Raw genomic sequence first — 21,492 nt, 5'->3', positions numbered from 1 at the left:
AACAAATGTTGTTAATAATGATGGTGATGAAAATGAAAAATACAGCCCCAGATAGTAAGGATTAGAGAGAGAGACCTGATTTAGAAAATACATTTCCTAGTTCCTAGAACTAGGAAATAAAATTAGAAGGTATTTAGTGCTCAGTGTTGGAAGGTTCTCAATGACTATTGGCTTATGTCATAGAATAATTATGGAAGAATGATGACATTCAAGCATTTTCTATCCATGGTCATTTTAAGAAAGATTTGGAGTAAAGAAATTAGGAAATGCACTTTTTTGCATACCTATCCATAAGATAAAGAGATGTGATGATTTTCTGTTCCCAATTAAATTCCAGGCCAAAGTCTACAACATAAATAAACATAAAGGATTTGTTCACACTTTATTGCTGGTGTCATCTTTGTGATAGAAAGAACAAGAGGCTTGTAATCAGAAAATGGGGGTGTGAGTCCCAGTACCACCACTTCCTCTTTCATTATGCTCATTGCAAAACAAATAATTATCCTCTCCATGACTACTTCACAGAGTTGTTATACAAATTTAATAATGTACATGGAGATGCTTTAAAATAATGTCAAAATAATGACAAAAATAATGTGAATTAGTTTGCGACATTATCTCACAGGAAAGTAAAATTCATTCCTTAAAAAGGAATCAAAATAAGTTCCAATATGGTACTGAGACAGGACTAGCTGGATTTCCTAGGCCAACTAAGAATTCCTAAGCCTAGCTGGGGAAAGTGACCACACCCACCTTTAAACACGGGGCTTGTAACTCAGCTCACACCTACCAATCAGGTAGTAAAGAGAGCTCACTAAAATACCAATTAGGCTAAAAGCAGGAGGTAAAGAAATAGTCAATCATCTGTTGCCTGAGAGCACAGGAGGAAGGACAATGGTCAGGATATATAAACCCAGGCATTCAAGCCAGTTGTGGCAACGCCCTTTGGGTCCCCTCCCATTGTATGGGAGCTCTGTTTTCACTCTATTCAATCTTGCAACTGCACACTCTTCTGGTCCATGTTTGTTCTGGCTCAAGCTGAGCTTTTGTTCACTGTCTGCCACTGCTGATCTCCACCACTGCAGACCCACTGCTGACTTCCACCCCTCCAGATCCGGCAGGGTGTTCACTGCACTTCTGATCCAGTGAGGCACCAATTGCCACTCCCAATCAGGCTAGAGGCTTGCCATTGTTCCTGCATGACTAAGTGCCTAGGTTCACCCTAATCAAGCTGAACACTAGTCTCTGGGTTCACAGTTCTCTTCCATGACCCATGGCTTCTAATAGAGCTATAACACTCACCGCATGGCTCAAGGTTCCATTCCTTGGAATCCTGAGGCCAAGAACCCCAGATCAGAGAACAAAAGGCTTGCCGCCATCTTGGGAGCCGCCCACCACCATCTTGGGAGTGGCCCACCACCATCTTGGGGACTCCAAGAATATAGAACTACCAGTAACAGTACTACATGAGAACAGCAATTTCGTATTCAACAATTTGTGACAGATTACTCACAGGTTCCCTGTACTTTGGAAGCTATGGAAATTGCACCCCACTCAATCCATTCTGTAGAAAAAAAAAATTTATTGTTCCAAGGGAACATATGCATTGTCTAGAGGACACTCCTCCAAGATACCTTATTATACTTTCTCTTCATCTTTGAGCTATTTTGCCACTGTAAATTTTAAGTAACTGATAGCAATGCAAGATAAATTCTTGTCTGTAGACGTGCAAATTCTGTTCTGTCCATTACAGGTTCAACTGTCTTCCTTCCCATTCTGAGGAAAAATTAGTTTTGCCACCATTCATTTATTTAAATATTTCTGATATATAAGTGTGCCCTTGATTGTACTCTCTTTTGCATCAGTTATCACATTTGCCTGGTCCCCTCATGAGTTGAACAACAATCTTTAACACATAGAATTTACTCTTTTTTGGAAAGTATCTTTCAACAGTTTGTTCATTTATCATTTTTCCCACAAACATTTGGTGAGTACCTACTCTACGGCCTGCTCTGATTAGATACTTAAGCCTAAGGAGTTAAAAAATAAAATCAACAGAGCACTTAGCACTACAGCATTGATGATGGAAAAAGCCAAATTCTGCCAAAATATTTAAAGAAGTTTATTCTGAGCCAATATGAGGGATGGTGGCCAGGGGTTAGAGTCTCAAAAGGTCCTGAGAAAGTGTGCCAAGGAGGTTGGGCTATGGTTTGGTTTTATACATTTCAGGGAGATAGGAATTGCAGGTTAAACCATAAATCAACACATGGAAGATATACATTGGTTTGACCCAAAAAGGACATTTTGAAGTTAGAGCTTACAAGTCATTGGTGGGTTTTAGGGATTCTTATTTTATTTTATTTTATTTTATTTTATTTTATTTTATTTTATTTATTTTATTTTATTTTATTTTATTTTTGAAATGGAGTTTCACTCTTGTTGCCCAGGCTGGAGTGCAATAGAGTGCAATGGCATGATCTCAGCTCACCTCCGCCTCCTGGGTTCAAACTATTGTCCTGCCTCAGCCTCCCAAGTAGCTGGGATTACAGGCACGTGCCACCACGCCCGGCTAATTTTGTATTTTTAGTGGAGATGGGGTTTCTCCATATTGGTCAGGCTGCTCTCATATTCCTGACCTCAGGTTATCCTCCTGCCTCAGCCTCCCAAAGTGCTGGGATTACAGGCATGAGCCACTGCGCCCAGCCAATTTTAAGTATCCTTTAGTTGACACTAGTTAAGAGAGTTAAGTTTTGTCTAAATACTAAATACTTCAGTTAAGATAAAAGGGTCTGCTATTTGTCACATGATGCTATACCAGAGTCAGCTTGGAAAGTAAGCCATATTATACCAGGTTAAATTTAATTAAAAAAATTAAGGATATTTTACTGTTTGTAGGGTGTGACTCTCCAGGACCCTTAAATAGGAATTTGGGCAAGATGGAAAAAAGATCAGAGTTCAGTCCTCAGCATTACTGTGAATGCAGTTTTCTCTTCTTCACCCACCACCCTTCACCAGCACACAGTAAATACTTCATAGAGATATATTAGAAGAATTTTAAAATGGCTTCCCCCCAAAACACACAATCTAGTAATTTATTCTTTTACAAAGGCCTGCCAACTAGCACCTGTACAGTGCTTGGCATGTAGAAGATACTTTATAAATATTTGTTGCATGAATTAATATAGTCTGCTATTAAGAAACTCACAAGCTGCTCATACGAAGGTCCAACATCTAGGCTTGTTCATACGAAGGTCCACCATGATTTTCCTGCTCATACGAAGGTCCACCCTCTAGGCTTGCTCAGTGCTTCACACTTAGTGGACATGCATTTGATATCTGCTGACTGATTTCAAAGCATAGCAGACGTAAAAGCCCAACATAAGTAATAGATTTTCCTCAACTAAATCACCTCCCTGTATCTATCATTAAAGCAATCATTATAATAGTGAATCTTTACTAGCTCCCCTTTAATGATTAGAGTTTCAAGCAGAAAAGTCATCCTTCTAGTTAATTTTTCTCTTAGTCTGGAGGTTAAATTTTTATCATTATTATTCAAAGTTTATGTCATCCATGTTCCACTGGTAATATTTTTATTCAGTTATTGTCAGCCATACACCTTGTGTTCATTTTTGTTCATCAAACAGGTTCTAACACAGTCTCTGTCTCACAGATACTGACAAGAACACCAACATGAACATCAGGTTTTTTTCAAATTGGAAAATAAGAGTTAGGTTACAAATTTTCTAAACCCTTTGCAGAGTGAGAAAAATCTATGCCTGGCAAAGATAATTTACTAGATAGAGTCAGATATAAATCTTACCAAAAAAAGAAAAGAAAGAAACTTCATGCTTAGAATAAAGTACAAATCATTGTCTCCAAAAGGGAGCTGGCATAAACCTTGACAAGGCTTATTAATAATGCCTACATCTTCCTTGAAACCTTCTAGACACTAAGGGAAGAATGTTCTTCCCTGACCATGCTATAAATACAGCTGGCAGAAGAGGGAGTTTTATTGCCTCTGAACGACTGTGTGGCTCACTGCAAAATGTTGTTCCCATAACCACAGGAAATTAAATTAGCAGCTCCAGGAGTTCTCACAAGGTTTAAATATGCTATTGTGCCCATGTTATGTTCACAATAGATGTAAGCAGTCCAATATGTTCAGCTACTCGTGAAAGAATCTATCAAATTTGGCTATTTAAATTAGCCAATTTGAAGATGGCCATGACAACTGGCACACATCTGCAAACTCAAAATTAGGGGATGCCTTCCAGAGGTCACAGTATTGTCGGGAGACTGAGCCTTGAACATAAATAACTAAATAGGCAACTCCATGTGGGCAGTGCTAAGTAAAATAACAGAGGGATATATAAAAAGATATGGCTGGAGAGAAAGATTACATTCAGATGTGGCTTGAGGCGGCTTTCTGTGGGAGGTAATTTAAGCTAGGCCAGGAAGGATGAGCACACTTTGGCTATGTGGAGATGAAAGGCTGAGCACTCCAGGAATAGGGCACCACATTAGTCAACATGTATAAATGAGATGAAAGGACATGTAGTTGGAAGAGAAATAAGTTCTATATGGCTGAAGTATGTTTTCATGAAGAATGTTGTGAAAAATAAGGCTGGAAAAGTAGTTAAGAGAAGGTGGCAAGGGCTGCCGTGAAGGCCCTTCACAGCTCTACCCTCAGAATGCTCCCCATCCCTCTCTAGGTCAATGTCCTCTGTGCACAGCACCCCCACCTTGCTTTGATGGCTTTGCTTTCTCCTCAGTAATAAAGGTTCTAAAGTCTCCATGTGTGGAAACTATGCTGGGGAACATGAACACAAGCACCCAGACATCAGAAGATGCGGAGCATGGACTGCAAATAACAGCAGACTCCATTTTTCTGAGAGATCAGTAGTTTTCAAATTTGATAAATTCATGAAAACTGTTAGATATGAGTTCTAAATTTCTTTTCAATGAATCAGTATGTCAGTAGGCTCAATTCTTTGCCTTCTACTTTTAAACTTAACTTCCTCATAAAGCAAACTTTTTCAATTACCTGCTCCACCCTGACTCATTCTGATTACCTACTCCACCCTGATTCATTCCGATTACCTGCTCCACCCTGACTCATTCCAATTACCTGCTCTGTCATAACCATTTTTCCCGCCAAACCACTTACCCTGTCACTCTCTTTAAATTAGCCAATCAGAATTAGTTTAGCCTGTGCAGTCTAACCCTAGCCAACAGGGGAATGACACAGCAGCAAGGGCCACATGTGTCAGGGATAAGAACCACTTCCCCTCCCTTGTCCAAGTGCGTGTTCATCATTGCTGCATCTGTAAGGGCGCACACTTCTATAGAAGTACTTTGCCTTGCTGAGAATTACAAGAAAATTTTATATTCAAGTGCTATTTCTTTTGCAGCACCGAAACTTTATATATAACAAACAGTTAGTTTAAATAAAATCTTATGTGGAATCCCAATAAGCAAAATGGAGCTCATCTGTTTGGAACAGGGATAGGAGGCCAGAGGCCCACCTACCCAGCTTCCTTTCCTTGACAGCAACCCCTCAGAGCAAGGGGGCAGGGGGGCAGGGAGGAATGATCTGTCAATCTCTTATTGCTCTCTGGAATGCAGTTTGTATAAAGTGCTGCCCTAAGGCAAAGGATGTACAATAGAACTGCAGACAATAAGAGGTTTGAGTCAAGTGGTGAAAGGCCTGGAGTTCCAGACTACATGTTTGTTCTTTATTCCGTAAGGAAGAGCTCATCAATGAGAGTTCTTCAAGTAAGAGATAATGAAACCAGAGTGAGAAAAGAGACAACAGGAACACAACGGTGAAAGGAAGACATCATTCAGAAAGAACTCAGCAGAGCTTAGCAAGTGATTGATATGGAAGACAAGGAAAAGGGAGAAGTCCCCAAAATTAGGCAAGACTTCAAGCTGGGGGACTGAAGTCAATGGAGAAAAATAGTGACAGGCAGGGGCTTGAGAAGATGAAGAATTCAGTTTAGGACACACTGCGTTGCACAGGCCAGACACAGATGTGAAGATTGCCAACCAAGAACCAGATGGGTGATGCTGGAACTCAGTAAACGTAGTCAGAGCTCTGGTGGTGAATTCAGCCCAAAAAGCACAGAAGCTACTATTCTCAATATGTACAAGGGCTTACCCATAAGATACGGCTGCTATATGGACAAAATAATGGAGTACATGAGAAAAAAGCATGCCTCATGTCCCCCTTTTTTTGGCTAATGAGCTTCCTCAAACTTAAGCTTATTTCTACATTTAACTCCTTCTTTTGTTCACTCAACCATTACAATTTTATTACCAATTGAGATTTGGGCATAGTGCTAGATCCTGTATACAACTTTAAAAATGTGATGTTGACCCCTGGAAGCAATTTAAAGCAATATATACATAACTGATTTGAATATCAGATAAACCTAGACTTGAGTGTAAGCTCCATTTCTAAACACCTGCAACAATTTGACCAATTTATTCAACCCCTCTGTGAAATGGGATTTGAATATAGAGCCCAGGAAGAGGCCAGACCAGAAGTACAAATCATGAAACAGACTAAAATAAATTTAGGGACTGTATAGGCAGAGAAGAGATAAGCACAAAGGGTCAAGCCCTGGGGCCTAAATATACTAGCTCCCCTGCCTTCTGTTAGTTGACATGTGGTTGAACAGTTTTGAGTTGTGGTTAACCTGTACCATTGGTAAAACCAGACCAACGTACAAATTCCAGCTTGGCTTATTTCTACTAATAAACCATAAATAAGGTATAAAAGATTTCTGAGTCTCCTGAATTTTATCATCCATACAATGGATATAAAATTACTAACTCACAGAGTTATCATTAGGATGCAATCAGTCAATATAACTAAAGCACTGAAAACAGTCATAAAAGATAACGAGCACTTAATAAATGAGAGTTTGTATTTTGAGATGCTGCTTCCTAGCTTTCAAGGCAAGCAGAATCTCTTGCCCTCACCTTTGGCTCTAGCTCAGTCAGGCAGGACTTCTCCTGGAGCAAGAAGAGCCCCTAGAAGCTTCTCTGACGATAGAGAGTTTCCAGGTGTTATTAGATCCAACACAGCAGCATTGGAGCTGAAAGGTCATTAGGAGATGGGCTGAATTCCCAGAAAGGATCCTCTTGCCTCCACCCCTAGATCAAAGGCCAGGCCCAGCCCATCATCTCTGACTCTTACCTCCTGGGAGGGAGCAGCACCTGATGGGTGCCCTATTTTCATTAGCCCCTCCATCCAGTATCTCTGTTATTTGCAAAGAAAGAAAAATGGTACCTTCAGGCACTTCTTTCTCTTTCTTTCCTCCTCAGAGTATAGAATATCTGATTATCTTCTTCATGCTAGACCTTGATTTATAAACAATCTGTCTGTTATAAGATGCCTCTCCTTACAGCAACCAAAACAAAGTGGTGAACATTTCTACTTCATGTCCTTCCAAGGAGCACTTCATTTTCTCCAGAATGAGCACACGACCACTTATAGAATAATCAAAAGCAAAATTTGTTGCACTGTGCATACATTTAAGATGTTATGAATCCACATTAATTTTGTCTCACGTTATAACTATACCTTACTGCCACCTCCTTAATGATTAATAACAATTACCAGTTGTTGGCTTCTTATGTCTTTCTTGTGAAATTCACTTCATCTCCTAGGCAGCAACTACTAACTGGAGCCTAAAGACAAAGAAAAAGGGGCAAAGTCAAGAAGCTTCATTCATTCCTGGGAAGCACTTCAGCAGAAATGTGAAATAATAACACCTTTAACTGAACTGAGAAAATAGTCATTATCCATCACAGATATGTGCTCAACTGGGCTCAGGAGGTCCTTAGGAATGTTGGGGGTTTTGCCAAGCTAAATTATGTAATGATGACATGGTAGAATATAAAAGTGAATTCTGCCTTTATTGCATTCACACAAAGAAATGTTTCTCCTCTCTAAACCATAGAAACTTGGGAAACTTAAGAAAGACAAGTGAAGATGAAAGGCTAACCCAGTTTATGCAGCAGCGGAAAACAGTGTACAAAAAACACATGGCTTAAAATCCTTATCTATAAAGATGATGATGATGATGATGATGATTATTAAACTCACACTGAAAGAAAGAAAAAATTATTCAAGTAGCTGGTATGCTTTTGCAAGCACTATTGTCAATCAAAGTGATTAGACTTTTATGGTTCAAAATGAGAAATCAGGTGTGAAATGATTCCAAACTCCCTATATTTAGTAGGCAAAATAGCTTAAGATTTCACTCCAAGTTGAATTAGTATCATGTAAACCAGATCCAAGGTCCAGGAATAAAGAAAATAAGTTTAAGTCTTTTACAGAAAGATGGTTGTAGATGTGTAAGTCAACTTCTGAATGGAGAATGAACTGTGTTAATGACCCTCACTTTCCTGCCTTTGGCCCTATCCACAATCTGACCAAAGCTGACTGACCATGAAGGAACCTACTAAAAGCAATAAATTAATTTGCTTGTCAGTGACCAGTTCAATCCTCTTCTCTGTTGTTATTTGAATTAAGAGATAAAGTGGGGCTAATGAAACTATGAGGAACACAAATGTCATGAGGTCCTTATCAACTTATGTTCATCAAAACAGCACATTTTCATTTGTATATATAAGGCTGTTGCCTGGAAAATGTTTGAAAACCACTGTGGCAAGGTTACTTCAACATATGCAAATCAATAAATGTGATTCATCATATAAACAGAACTAAAGAAAAAAAACCACATGATAATCTCAACAGATGCAGAAAAGGCCTTCAATAAAATGGAATACCCCTTCAGGTTAAAAACTCTTAGTAAACTAGATATTGAAGGAATATACCTCAAAATAATAAGAGCTCTCTATGCCAGGCCCACAGCCAACATCATACTGAAAGGGCAAAAGCTGGAAGGATTCCCCTTGAAAACCAGAGAAAGACCAGGATGCCCTCTCTCACCACTCCTATTCAACATAGTATTGGAAGTCCTGACCACGGCAATCAGGCAAGAGAAAGTACTAAAGGGCATCTAAATAGAAAGAGGAAGTCAAATGATCCCTGTTTTCAGACGACAGGATCCTATACCTAGAAAACCCCATAGTCTTAGCCCAAAAGCTCCTTCAGCTGATAAACAACTTCTGCAAAGTCTCAGGATACAAAATCAATGTACAAAAATCACTAGCATTCCTATACACAAACAATGGTCAAGCCAAGAGCCAAATCAGGAATTCAATCCCACTCACAACTGACTAAAAAGAATAAAATACGTAGGCATGTAGCTAACCAGGAAGGTGAAAGATCTCTACAAGGAGAACTAAAAGACACTGGTCAAAGAAATTAGAGATGGCACAAACAAATAGAAAAATATTCCATGCTCATGAATAAGAAGAACCAATATCATAAAAATGGCCATACTGCCCAAAGCAATTTACAGATTCAATGCTATTCCTATTAAACTATGACACTCTTCACAGAACTAGAAAAATCTATTTTAAAAGTCATATGAAACAAAAAAGAGCCCAAATAGCCAAGGCAATCCTAACCAAAAGAACAAAGCTGGAGGCATCATGCTATCCAACTGCAAACTTTACTACAGCACTACAGAAACCAAAACAGCATGGTACTTGCACAAAAACAGATACATAGACTAATTGAACAGAACAGAGAATTCAGAAATGAGACCACACACCTACAACCATCTGATCTTAGACAATGCAGACAAAAATAAGCAATGTGGAAAAGGACTACCCTTTCAATAAATGGTGCTGGGATGACTGGCTAGCCATATGCAAAAGATTGAAACTGGACCCGTTACTTACTCCATAAACAAAAATTAATTCAAGATGGATTAAAAGCTCAAATGTAAAACTGAAAACTATAAAAACCTTGGGAAACAACCAAAGCAATACTATTCTGGACATAAGAACAGACAAAGATTTCGTGATGGAGACACCAAAAGCAACTGCAACAAAAACAAAAAATGACAAATGGGATCTAATTAAACTAAAGAGTTTCTGCACAGCAAAAGAAAATATCAACAGGGTAAAGAGACAACCTACAGAATGGGAGAAGTGTTTTGAAAACTAGGCATCTGACAAAAGTTTAATATCCAGCATGTATAAGGAACTCATAGTGGGCCAAAGAAATGAAGAGACACTTTCAAAAGAAGGCAAACATGTAGCCAAGAAGCATACAAAAAAAACCTCAACATCACTGATCATTAGAGAAATGCAAATCAAAACCACAGTGAGGTACCATCTCACACCAGTCTGAATGGTTATTATCAAAAAGCCAAAAAATAACAGATGCTTGTGAGGTTGCAGAGAAAAGTTAATGCTTATACACTGTTGGTGGAAATGTAAATTAGGTCAACCATTGCAGAAAACAGTGTGGTGATTCCTCAAAGACCTAAAAACAGAAATATCATTCAACACAGCAATCCCAAAGTGGGTATATACCCAAAGGAATATAAATCATTCTATCATAAAGACACATGCACACATATGTTTAATGCAGCACTATTCACAGTATCAAAGGCATGGAATCAATCTAAATGCCCACTGGTGGTAGAATGGATAAAGAAAATGTGGTACATATACACTGTGGAATACTATGCAGCCATAAAAAGGAACAGATATGTCCTTTGCAGGAACATGGCTGAAGCTAAAGGCTATTATCTTTAGCAAACTAACACAAGAACAGAAAGCCAAATACTACATGTTCTCACTTATAAATCGGAGCTAAATGATGAAAACACATGGACACATAGAAGGGAACACAGACACTGGGGCCTAACAGAGGGTGGACAGTGGGAGAAGGGAGAGAATCAGGAAAAAAAATAACTAATGAGTACTAGGCTTAATACCTGGGCCATAAAATAATCTGTACAACAAATCCCCAAAACATGAGTTTACCTATATAACAAACCTGCACATATACCCTGGCCTTAAAATAAAAGTTGAAGAAAATTGTCATTCACATGTCTATCTACAGAACTAGTCAGTCTTTCTAATAAAGTTACTTAACATTTTAAAAAAAAGGACGAGATGTTACAGAAAGATTGGGGCATGGAGAAGGAGGGGGCATCAATTTGCATGAAGGCTCAAGAAACTTGATGATTTTTATGGAGGAAAACTAATTGTATTTACCACAGTTCACCAAGGCTGGAGTGCAATGGCACGATCTCAGCTCACGGCAACCTCCACCTCCAGGGTTCAAGCGATTCCCCTGCCTCAACCTCCCGAGTAGCTGTGATTACAGGCATAAGCCACCACACCCAGCTAATTTTTGTATCATTAGTAAAGACGGGGTTTCACCATGTTGGCCAGGCTGGTCTCGAACTCCTGACCTCAGGTGATCCACCTGCCTTGGCCTCCCAAAGTGCTGGGACTACAGTCATGAGCCACCATGCCTAACTGACTATATGGCTTAATGTGCTTGGGATATTACAAGTTCATGCATGCCTGTTTCCTAGCTTTATTATTCACTATGCCACCTGTCATTCTCAAAAATGTCCCAATTTGGATGATAAATTACATTGTCAAATTAATTATGGTCACAAAGTAAAAACACAGATATATAGTGAATATATGCTGGTGTTTGCTTAACTACAATATCCTTATCCTCAAGACTGACTTTCAATTATAACATATGTTACCTACATTCTCTAGTTGTTTTTAACAAAGGGTAAAGTTATTCAATATTTCTATCCTCTTTCCAGATATTACAAGAACAATAGCATGCTTTCACACTCCTAGTCTATTTTTGCTTAGAGTTTTATAACTATCTTTCAACATAAAAAAAGGCTCAAGTACGTAACATTTTTATGGTCAATAGTTAAGTTTTATACATATCTGTGCTTACCCCCGTATCGTATTCCCTCTCTTTAGTGAAATTTATCCTCAAATAGTTATTTAAGTGAGAGATTGTGGGTTTAGTCTTTGCACACCTAAAAATGCCTTTACTTTCATTCACTGTGTGATAATTTAACTAGGTATAAAATTCCAGGCTAAGAATGAATTTCCCACAGCACTTGGACAATATTATCCTATTTTCTTTCCAAATCCATTCTTCCTTATCTAGCATCTATCCTTTGTCTAATTTCTGTTTCTTTAAAGGCAATCTTTGCTTCCCCTTTGATAGCTTTTGATATTATTTATTTTCCTTGACATTTTTAATTTTCACTACTGTGACTAGATGTTGATGTATTTTTACTGCTTCTACATGGTATTGTATATTTTGTGACCTGAAATTTCAAGTTTCCATTTTTCAGAATTATCTTCTCTATCATTCATATGAGGTTGCTATTTCTTTTGTTACTGTTTTCTCTTGGTTTTTATCTTCCCTTGCCTTCTGTGAAAACATTTCCAAGCATAACAGTTTTGTGGTAAGCTTCATCCAGTCCTCCAGGGAACCATACTTAAGATCTTACAATGGTAGTTCAGGCTTCCTACCAAAGATGATATTGTAGAGATCTCACAGCCAGTAGTCAAAGCTCTAGACAGATTATTTCAATCGCTAGCCTATATTAGAAAGCAGTGCTGCTCAAGAAGGCTGATAGGTCATGAAATAAAAACAATTTAACATTCACATAGCATGATGCAAGGTAATACCCTGACCTTCAAAAGTAACCCCAATTTTCATGTCACTGCATTGTTCAAATGTACAGAAATTACACTCTATGAACTCACATGTATGTCATGTTTTATTTTAATGTACTGGTTTAAAATATTAGTTTTTAAGTTAAAATACTAGACTGGAAAACAGCTAATATTGTAAGCATAAAGAAGCAGTAGATATCTGTCAACTTTTACTTCAATGAAGACAGTAAAGATGTTGCCTAAACCAAGTTAACGGCTCGTCTTGGTGAAACAAGAATAGGTAATAATATCAACATTAACAAAAGCATTATGCTCAGAACATCACTGATTATTCACTGATTATGACAAAAACTTTATATGCAAAAATTATTTTAATATAGAAGGTAAGAGAATAGCTTAGCTAATAGATTCACACTATTGTCTTCTGGATAGGCTGGACATTATCAGAAATTTTTGTTTCATAATACTTTTTTGTAATTACTTCTTCCCTAAAAGCTAGTGGTGATTTGCCCTTCATATTAATGTGATGACAAAAAAAGAACACTTTTTATCCTGCTTTTTTCTTTATTTCTTAGGTGTAAATCTATCTTGATAAAAGCATTTTTAATTACCCAAGTGTATCTAACACTTCTTGAAAACCACTGAAAGCCATCTTGGCTTCCTCTCTCATTCCAACCACTGCCCCAACAACCAGGTTTCTGCAGGTTTTGATTACCCAGAGTCCCTCTTCCTACCTCAACTTGCTCACATATCCATAATCCAGAAGTGTAGAAGATTTAACACCATACGAAGCCATCCCTGACCAAAGAGAAGAGGAGCTGATGGATAAACGTTTCTCCTTTCTTCCCTCAGGTTGATGGTTATTAGACATATTAATATTTTCCCCACAGGATTAAGCAACCAGTCCCTCATTACAGTGGCCATTGCATTGGGATCATTGTATTGGCTTCTCTTCTTCCCCAGTCATTTCCTTCCCCCCTCACTTCTGCTCCTAGGAATTATTCCTAAATAAACCCACTGCCTTTAAGATTTTAACTCATATTGTGTTGTCAGAGAAACTTGCTCTAAGATAGACACTTTTCAAGAGCTTAACCATTGGGCACATGAACTGACAGTCGATTTCAAAGCTGTAGCCAATTTAATGAGCCCATTTCTTTCCAATTACAGAGTTAATGTATGCCCATTTTTGTATTAAAAACAAGAGCCTTACCATTTCTAATTTGATTTCTTTCTGAGCTGTACTGGACAGTTTAAGTGCTTGACATTAAATACTTTAAATACAATTGAACTAATATGGCTTAAATCAAAGCAATTGCACATTCTGCTAGTCTCAAGCAACAGATAAAATGCCCAGAGAGACTTTTCAAAGAGGAAACGAACAAAGATCCATTGGTGAATTTTTAAGTAGATTCTGCAAGGATTTTGAAATACAAATATGCAATAAGAACCATCTCTGCCCTCTTGAGCTCATATGTTAAGAGAGACAGATAATAGATTAATATACATATATATATATACACACACACATACGAATAGTGTATTAAATGTGGTTACTTATATGATATATAAAGCATAATTTCATTCTACAAAAAATGAATATAGAAATAAGCAGTACTTAGGTCTACTCCTCCATCAAAATAAGATATATCTAGATAATCTTACCTGGGTAATATTGGATACATTACTTAAATTCTTTGATTCTAATTTTTCAGAACTGTAAAATAGAAGCAATTACAACTACCTTACAAAGTTTCTGTGAAGACTCAAAAAAGACAACTTGAAAAGTTCTGGCATTTAATATATGGTAGCTGCTATTGCCGCTCCTTGTTATATCATTTTCATAGTTTTCTTTAATAACGTTTGCTATCATTTAACATTTGCTTTAATTCATTTGCTATCATTAATATAAATTATCATGATCATTGATTCAAACGTTTGAGTACCTACTCAGTGCCAAGCACTGTGATAACCAATACAACACAAGCAAGAAAATAAAAATGGTTCAAAAGAATGGAGTTGTTTAGCAGAGACATAAGTATGGGAGGCTAAATGGAAGCTCTGAATAGGCTTTGAATACAAAAGTGTAGCGGAGGCAGCTACCTTAATATTGTGTTCACAGCACAGTGGGGCTCATTGGTGCTCAGTCCTTGTGTGCACAGTCACCAGCATGGGAGAACTCAGAATGCTGATGTGAAGTTATGACTTCCAGAGCCTGTCATTAATAGAAGTGGAGCACCTCCCATCATCCTGGGATGCATGACAATGTTAACATTGTTGTTTCACTGGCATCTCCTCTCCAGAAAATGTCGAGTTATAATTCACTCAAGCAGAGCTATTTAGCTGCCCTTCTTCTTTGTTCTGTTGTCTGTGTTTTGTCATTATGTACATTCAATTAAGATTGATATCTGAACTAAGAGAATCTGAGTTCTCACCAAGCCCCAAAGAGAAATTACTCACTGTGAACCAAAGTACTATGGCTCCATTATGTTCTGAGGGCAAGTGGCAGCTGAGTGATGACTTGTGTACTCTCTTATTTTGTTGCTGTAGTAAATGTATTTCAAATGATAATTAAAATTAGACTCAGCTGAAACACATCAGTAACCAATGCAAACGAGACTACTCCTTTTATTAATGGATGGGTGTCCTTATATCTTTTTCCATTTTATTTTATTCAGTTATTGCCTCTAAGAACAAGAAAGATTTACTTAGGCTCATTTGAATTAACCAGATTTATTTCCTTGTTGATAAATTACATTGAATTAATCCTTTTCTACTGCACCGAGGACCAAATATTGGATGAGCTACTTAATCATGAGCCTTGTCAGAGCCCAAATCCATCCCAGACTTACTAACAAAAAATTGTCAGAAGACAGGTAATAACAAATCCCAGTGAGGATGTGGGGAAAAAGGAAGCCTACATTCTGTTGCTGTGAATACAAATTAGCACAACCACCATGAAGAACAGTTTGGAGCTTCCTCAGAAAGCTAAAAATAGAACACCATATGATCCAGCAATCCCACTGCTAGGTATATACCCAAAACAAAGCAAACCAGTATATTGAAGAGATATGTGCACTCTCATGTTTACTACAGTACTATTCATGACAGTCAAGATTTAGAAGCAACCTAAGTGTCCTTCAACAGATAAATGGATAAAGAGAATTTGATACATGTACACAACCTAGTACTATTCAACAATAAAAATGAATGAGATCCTGTCATTTGCAACATGGATGGAACTGGAGGTCATTATTTTAAGTGAAATAAGTCAAGCACAGAAAGACAAACTTTTTATATTCTCACTTATTTGTGGGAGCTAAAATGTGAAACAATTGAATTAATGGAGATTGACATAGTTTGAATATATGTCCCCATCAAATATCATGGTGAACCGTAACCCCCAACATTGGAGGTGGGGTCCGGTGGGAGGTGTTTGGGTCATGGTGACAGATCCCTCATGGTTTGGTGCTGTCCTCGTGATATTGAGTGAGTTCTCATGAGATCTGGTTGTTTAAGTGTGTGCCACATCCTTTTCCACTCTCTTGTTCGTGCTCCTGCCATGTGACATGCCTGTTCCCACTTCAACTTCCCCCATAAGTAAAAGCTCCCTGAGGCTTCCCCAGAAGCCAAGCAGATGTTGGTGCCATGTTTCCTGTATAGCCTGGAGAACCATGAGCCAAATAAACCTCTTTCCTTTATAAATTACCCAGTCTCAGGTATTTCTTTATAGCAATGCAAGAACAGCCTAACACAGAGATAGAGAGTAGAATGATGGTTACCTGAATCTGGGAAGGATAGTGGGGGAGGTGTGGTGGGGGATAATTAATGGGTACAAAATATAATTAGATAGAATAAGATCTAGCATTTGATAGCACAACAAGGTGACTATAGTCAAAGATAATCTATTGTACATTTCAAAATAACTAAGTGATATGGTTTGGTTCTGTGTCCCCACCCAAATCTCACCTTGAATTGTAATCCTCATAATCCCCATGTGTCAAGGGTGGGACCAGGTGGACATAATTGGATCATGGGGGCCATTCCCCCATGCTGTTCTTGTGAGAGTGAGTTCTCACAAGAGCTGATGGTTTTAAAGCATCTGGCATTTCCCCTGTTGGCACTCACTCTGACCTGCCACCCTGTGAAACGGGTGCCTGGTTCTCCTTTGCCTTCTTCCATGATTGTAAGTTTCCTGAGACCTCCCCAGCAATGTGGAACTGTGAGTCCATTAAACCTCTTTTCTTTATAAATTACCCAGTCTCTGGTATTTCTTCATAGCAGTGAGAATAGACTAATATAGTACATTGGTGCCAAGGTAGTGGGGCATTGTTAGAAGATACCTGAGAATGTGGAAGCGACTTTGGAACTAGGCAATGGACAGGGGTCAAGACAGTTTGGAAGACTCAGAAGAAGACAGGAAGCTGTGGGAAAGTTTGGAACTTCCTAGAGTCTTGTTGAATGGCCTTGACCAAAATGCTGATAGTGATATGGACAATGAAGTCCAGGCTGAGCTGGTCTCCAATGGAGATGAGAAACTTGGTGGGAACTGGAGTAAAGGTCCCACTCACTATGCTTTAGCAAAGAGACTGGTGGCATTTTTCCCCTGCCATAGAGATCTGTAGACCTTTGAACTTGAGAGAAATGATTTAAGGTATCTGATGTAAGATATTTCTAAGCAGCAAAGCATTCAAAAGATGACAGAGCATAAAAGTTTGGAAAATTTGCAGCCTGAAGATGCAATAGAAAAGAAAAACCCATTTTGGGGGGAGAAATTCAAGCTGGCTGAAGAAATTTGCATGAGTAACGAGAAGCCAAAGGTTAATCACCAAGACAATAGGAAAAATGTCTCCAGGGCATGTCAGAGACCTTCATAGCAGCTCTTTCATCACAGGCCTGGAGGCCTAGGAGGGAAAAATGGTTTTGTGAGCCAGACTCAGAGCCCCTCTGCTGTGTGCAGCCTTGGGACCTGGTGCCCTACATCCCAATTGCTCCAGCCATGGCTAAAAGGGATCAAGGTACAGCTCAGGCCATTGCTTCAGAGGGTGCAAGCCCCACGCCTTGGTGGCTTACATGTGGTGTTCAGACTGCAGGTGCACAGAGATCAAGAATTGAGGTTTGGGAACTTCCGCCTAGATTTCAGAGGATGTATAAAAATGCCTGGATGTCCAGGCAGAAGTTTGTTGTGGGGCTGGAGCCCTTAGGGAGAACCTCTGCTAGGGCAGTGTGGAAGGGAAATGCGGTATCAGAGCCCCCATAGAGTCCCCACTGGGGTACCGCCTAGTGGAGCTGTGAGAAGAGGGCCACCATTTTTCAGACCCCAGAATGGTAGATCCACCAACAGCTTCCACTGTGCACCTGGAAAAGCCACAACCACCAGCCTGTGAAAGCAGCTAGGAAGTGGACTATACCCTGCAAAGCCATAGAGGCAGAGCTGCCCAAGGTCGTGAGAGCCCACTTCTTGCATCATCAACCTGACCTGGATGTGAGACATGGAGTCAAAGGAGATCATTTTGGAACTTTAAGGTTTAATGACTGCTCTATTGGATTTTGGACTTTCATGGGGCCTGTAGTCCCTTTGTTTGAGCCAATTTCTCCCATTTGGAATGGGAGCATTTCTCCAATGCCTGTAGTCCCATTGTATCTAGGAAGTAACTGATTTGCTATTGATTTTACTGGCTCATAGGCGGAAGGGACTTGCCTTGTCTCAGATGAGACTTTGGACTATGGACTTTTGAGTTAATGCTGAAATGAGTTAAGATTTTGGGGTACTGTTGGGAAGGCATGATTGGTTTGGGAATGTGAAAAGACATGAGATTTGAGAAATGCCAGGGGCAGGATGATATGGTTTGGCTCTGTGTCCCTACCCAAATCTCACCTCTAATTGTAATCTCCATAATCCCCATCTGTCAAGGGTAGGATCAGGTGGAGATAATTGGATCACAGGGGCTGTTTGCCCCATGCCATTCTCATAATAGTGAGCGAGTTCTCACAAGATGTGATGGTTTTATAAGCATCTGCCATTTCCTCTGCTTGCACTTATTCCAACCTGCCACCCTGTGAAGAAGGTGCCTGCTTCTCCTTTGCCTTCTCCCATAATTGTAAGTTTCCTGAGGCCTCATCAGAAATGCAGAATTGTGAATCAATTAAACCTGTTTCATAAATTACCCAGTCTCAGGTATTTCTTCATAGCAGTGTGAGAATGGACTAATACACTAAGAATATAATTGGATTTGTGAAAGGAAATTAAATTTGGGGACCCCAAACTCATTTAGCCAAAGGGAAAATTCAAGCTGGGAACTGGGTCATGCAAACCTGCCTCCCCCTTTTGGTTCCTAAAAAAGATGGTTACAGGATGAAAGGCTACATGTCTCCCTCATATTTTGCCCACAAGGAAATTCCTGGTGAGCTGTTAAAACTTCACCATGGCAATGCAGATTGACAGCTTATCTTTACAGGTGCAGTCACCCCACCCACCAAACACAAACGCACATCTGCTTATTCCCCTATTTTGTCTGTGTTATCTTATTTAAAATGCAGATTCCCCACATTTTTCCTCTGCCCCCTTTCATTTCTGTAAAAACTGTGTGGTTCTCAATATCCCACCCTTTCCCCTTTAAATTTGGAGCCCTCAAAATCTTCTTCAGAGAAAGGCATAGACATGTCTCCTGGGTGCATCCTTAACTTTGGCAAGTAAATTTCCGAAAATGATTGTGACTTGTCTCGTCATTTTCTTATTTTCTTTGATCAACAGATTGTTTGTAACATAAAGGAGGATAAACGCTTAAGGTTATGGATACCTTATTTACCCTGAGGTAATTATCATGCATTGTATGCCTGTATCAAAATATCTCATGTATGTCATAAACATATACACCTACTGTGTACCCACAATAATCAAAGACTTTTAAAATAAGTGAAGACAATCAGGGAAATGTGGAAAAAATTGTGAGAACCATGAGGATGCTGACAGAATAGACTGCCTCAGAGACACTTGAGAAATGCCCTCCTCAGGGTGTGTTCAGACCTTTTCATACACATCTAGCAAGACAAAAGTCTAGGATTTGTCATTATAAGCTAGGATAATATATTCACAATTACAAATCAAGGTTTTTGGAGGCCTAAAGCTTATGTAGTTAGGGGGGTCATTTTGAAAAATAAAAAAAATATATAAATAGAAAATTGGGCATAAAACTCAATATAAATTTAGATTTAAAAAGAAATCACAATAAATTGAAAATTTTTTAAAAATTGACAGATACCCCAAACATCACCAAATCCAGAGAAATAACACACTATGTTTACTGAGTAACTGCCTGATCCACTTCCATAATACTTTCTTCATGCCTTTTTTTTTTTTTTTTTTTGCTGCTTACTCTTTGACTACCTCTTCATATGACAGTTTTGTAGTATTATTCTTGACAGAAAAATAGTAACAGCCCTTTTTCTAGGATGATGTATAAAATGGTGTTTTATATTATGATGGCTTTGAATAGACATCAATGAGAACTGACTCCCCTGCTTACAGTGTTACATGTCTGATGATTAGAAGAACATTCTACAGAGTACCTTCCAGTTCCTTCCAGTAAGCCTTGCCATATAATTCCAGGGCCAGTAGAAGTCATTCATACTGTGATGTGATATCTATTCCTGCATCTTCATGTCATCATGGCTGAAAAAGTAAGTGTGAGGAATATTCCTGGAAGCCATTTCTATGCCAGGAAGGTTAACAATTACTTGACTCTTCATAGAAGTGGCCTTTTTCATAAAAGAGCTATTAGCATCCCTTAGATACTAGTGACAAATATTGATCTAGATCTCTCATATGGTAACTTGGGCCCCTTGTTCTCTCCTGAGTGTGTGTGTAATATAATTTTTTTGGCCTCAGCTTTTGAATTTAGATTCCTTAACTTCTGCATTGGTATGTTTGGCCTCTTCCATATTTCTCTAAATTATTTCTACTTGGGAAACCCAGCAACAAGCACAGTGCCCTCCTAAGTATAGTGTCCCTGCTATATATAATGCCCTATGGTTGACATATACCTCAGAGTCCACATTTCTGCCAATTACAGCAAATACAATCATTGAAAGGGCATTTACAAAGTATTTTTATTAAAAGCATACTCCTCAAGTTAAAAAGGTAAATGGAAAAGAAAAACATGCTTATTAAAATTAATGCTGCATTTTACCTGTGAACCTGCCTGATAACAATTCTTGAGTAATTAATCCTATATTAAGGAATCTGCATTTTTATTTTGGCAGGCGATCTTGAGGATAAGAAAAATATGGTTGAAATCACTATTCTTCAAACTCTCTGATAATAACATGGTTTATATCCTTTACTTCATTTTCTCAAATTCCCTTGATAGTTTTTTAACCTTAAAAAGTGATAGATTAAAAAGCAGGAACAAATGTAACACTTGCACAGAATTCCTAATGTCATTTATTCTCCTAACAAGCTTAGTGAGAAATGAAAAAAATGAAGGAAAAGACATTTCTTACTTATGTTCTTCCTCCAAGCAAAGCAAGAGAATAGATGTAACAGATTTCATGCATTAGTGAGCACGCTATTACCCCATTTTGCTAAAAATCAAATCAAAAGGGCCATCTGTTCTCAATAATTCCTCTTTCTTCTATACCAGCAAAATGCCCTTGGCACTGGAAGAATTCAGCAGTGTTGTAAGGAATCCCTCAGGTTTCAAACAGACCTTTGCATGAAGGTAGGGTCTATACATTCCCAAAAGTAGTTAATGAAGAAAAGGAAAAAAAAAACCCAAATGGGTGACAGTTGATCTTCTATTAATCAAAATGTTAAAGGGTCTCTATTAAATTGAATTTTCCAGTTAAGTGAAGCATAAGCGTAACATTCTTGTTACAGAACCTGCTGCA

General features: G+C 38.5%; 1 long non-coding RNA gene across 3 annotated transcripts in view; it reads right to left on the bottom strand.

The window, feature by feature from the left end:
- LOC107984361 (uncharacterized) overlaps positions 1–21,492 on the bottom strand; it is a 552,293-nt gene that overhangs the window by 351,049 nt on the left and 179,752 nt on the right. For all 3 annotated transcript variants that reach the window (XR_002957260.2, XR_002957261.2, XR_001748316.2), the window contains one exon: positions 7,628–7,698. This is a non-coding gene — a long non-coding RNA (uncharacterized LOC107984361). The remainder of the gene's footprint in view (positions 1–7,627; positions 7,699–21,492) is intronic.

The sequence above is a fragment of the Homo sapiens genome, chromosome 11 (assembly GCF_000001405.40).
Source record: "Homo sapiens chromosome 11, GRCh38.p14 Primary Assembly".
Taxonomy (NCBI): Eukaryota; Metazoa; Chordata; class Mammalia; order Primates; family Hominidae; genus Homo; species Homo sapiens.
This window is presented reverse-complemented; position numbering and strand designations above follow the sequence as displayed.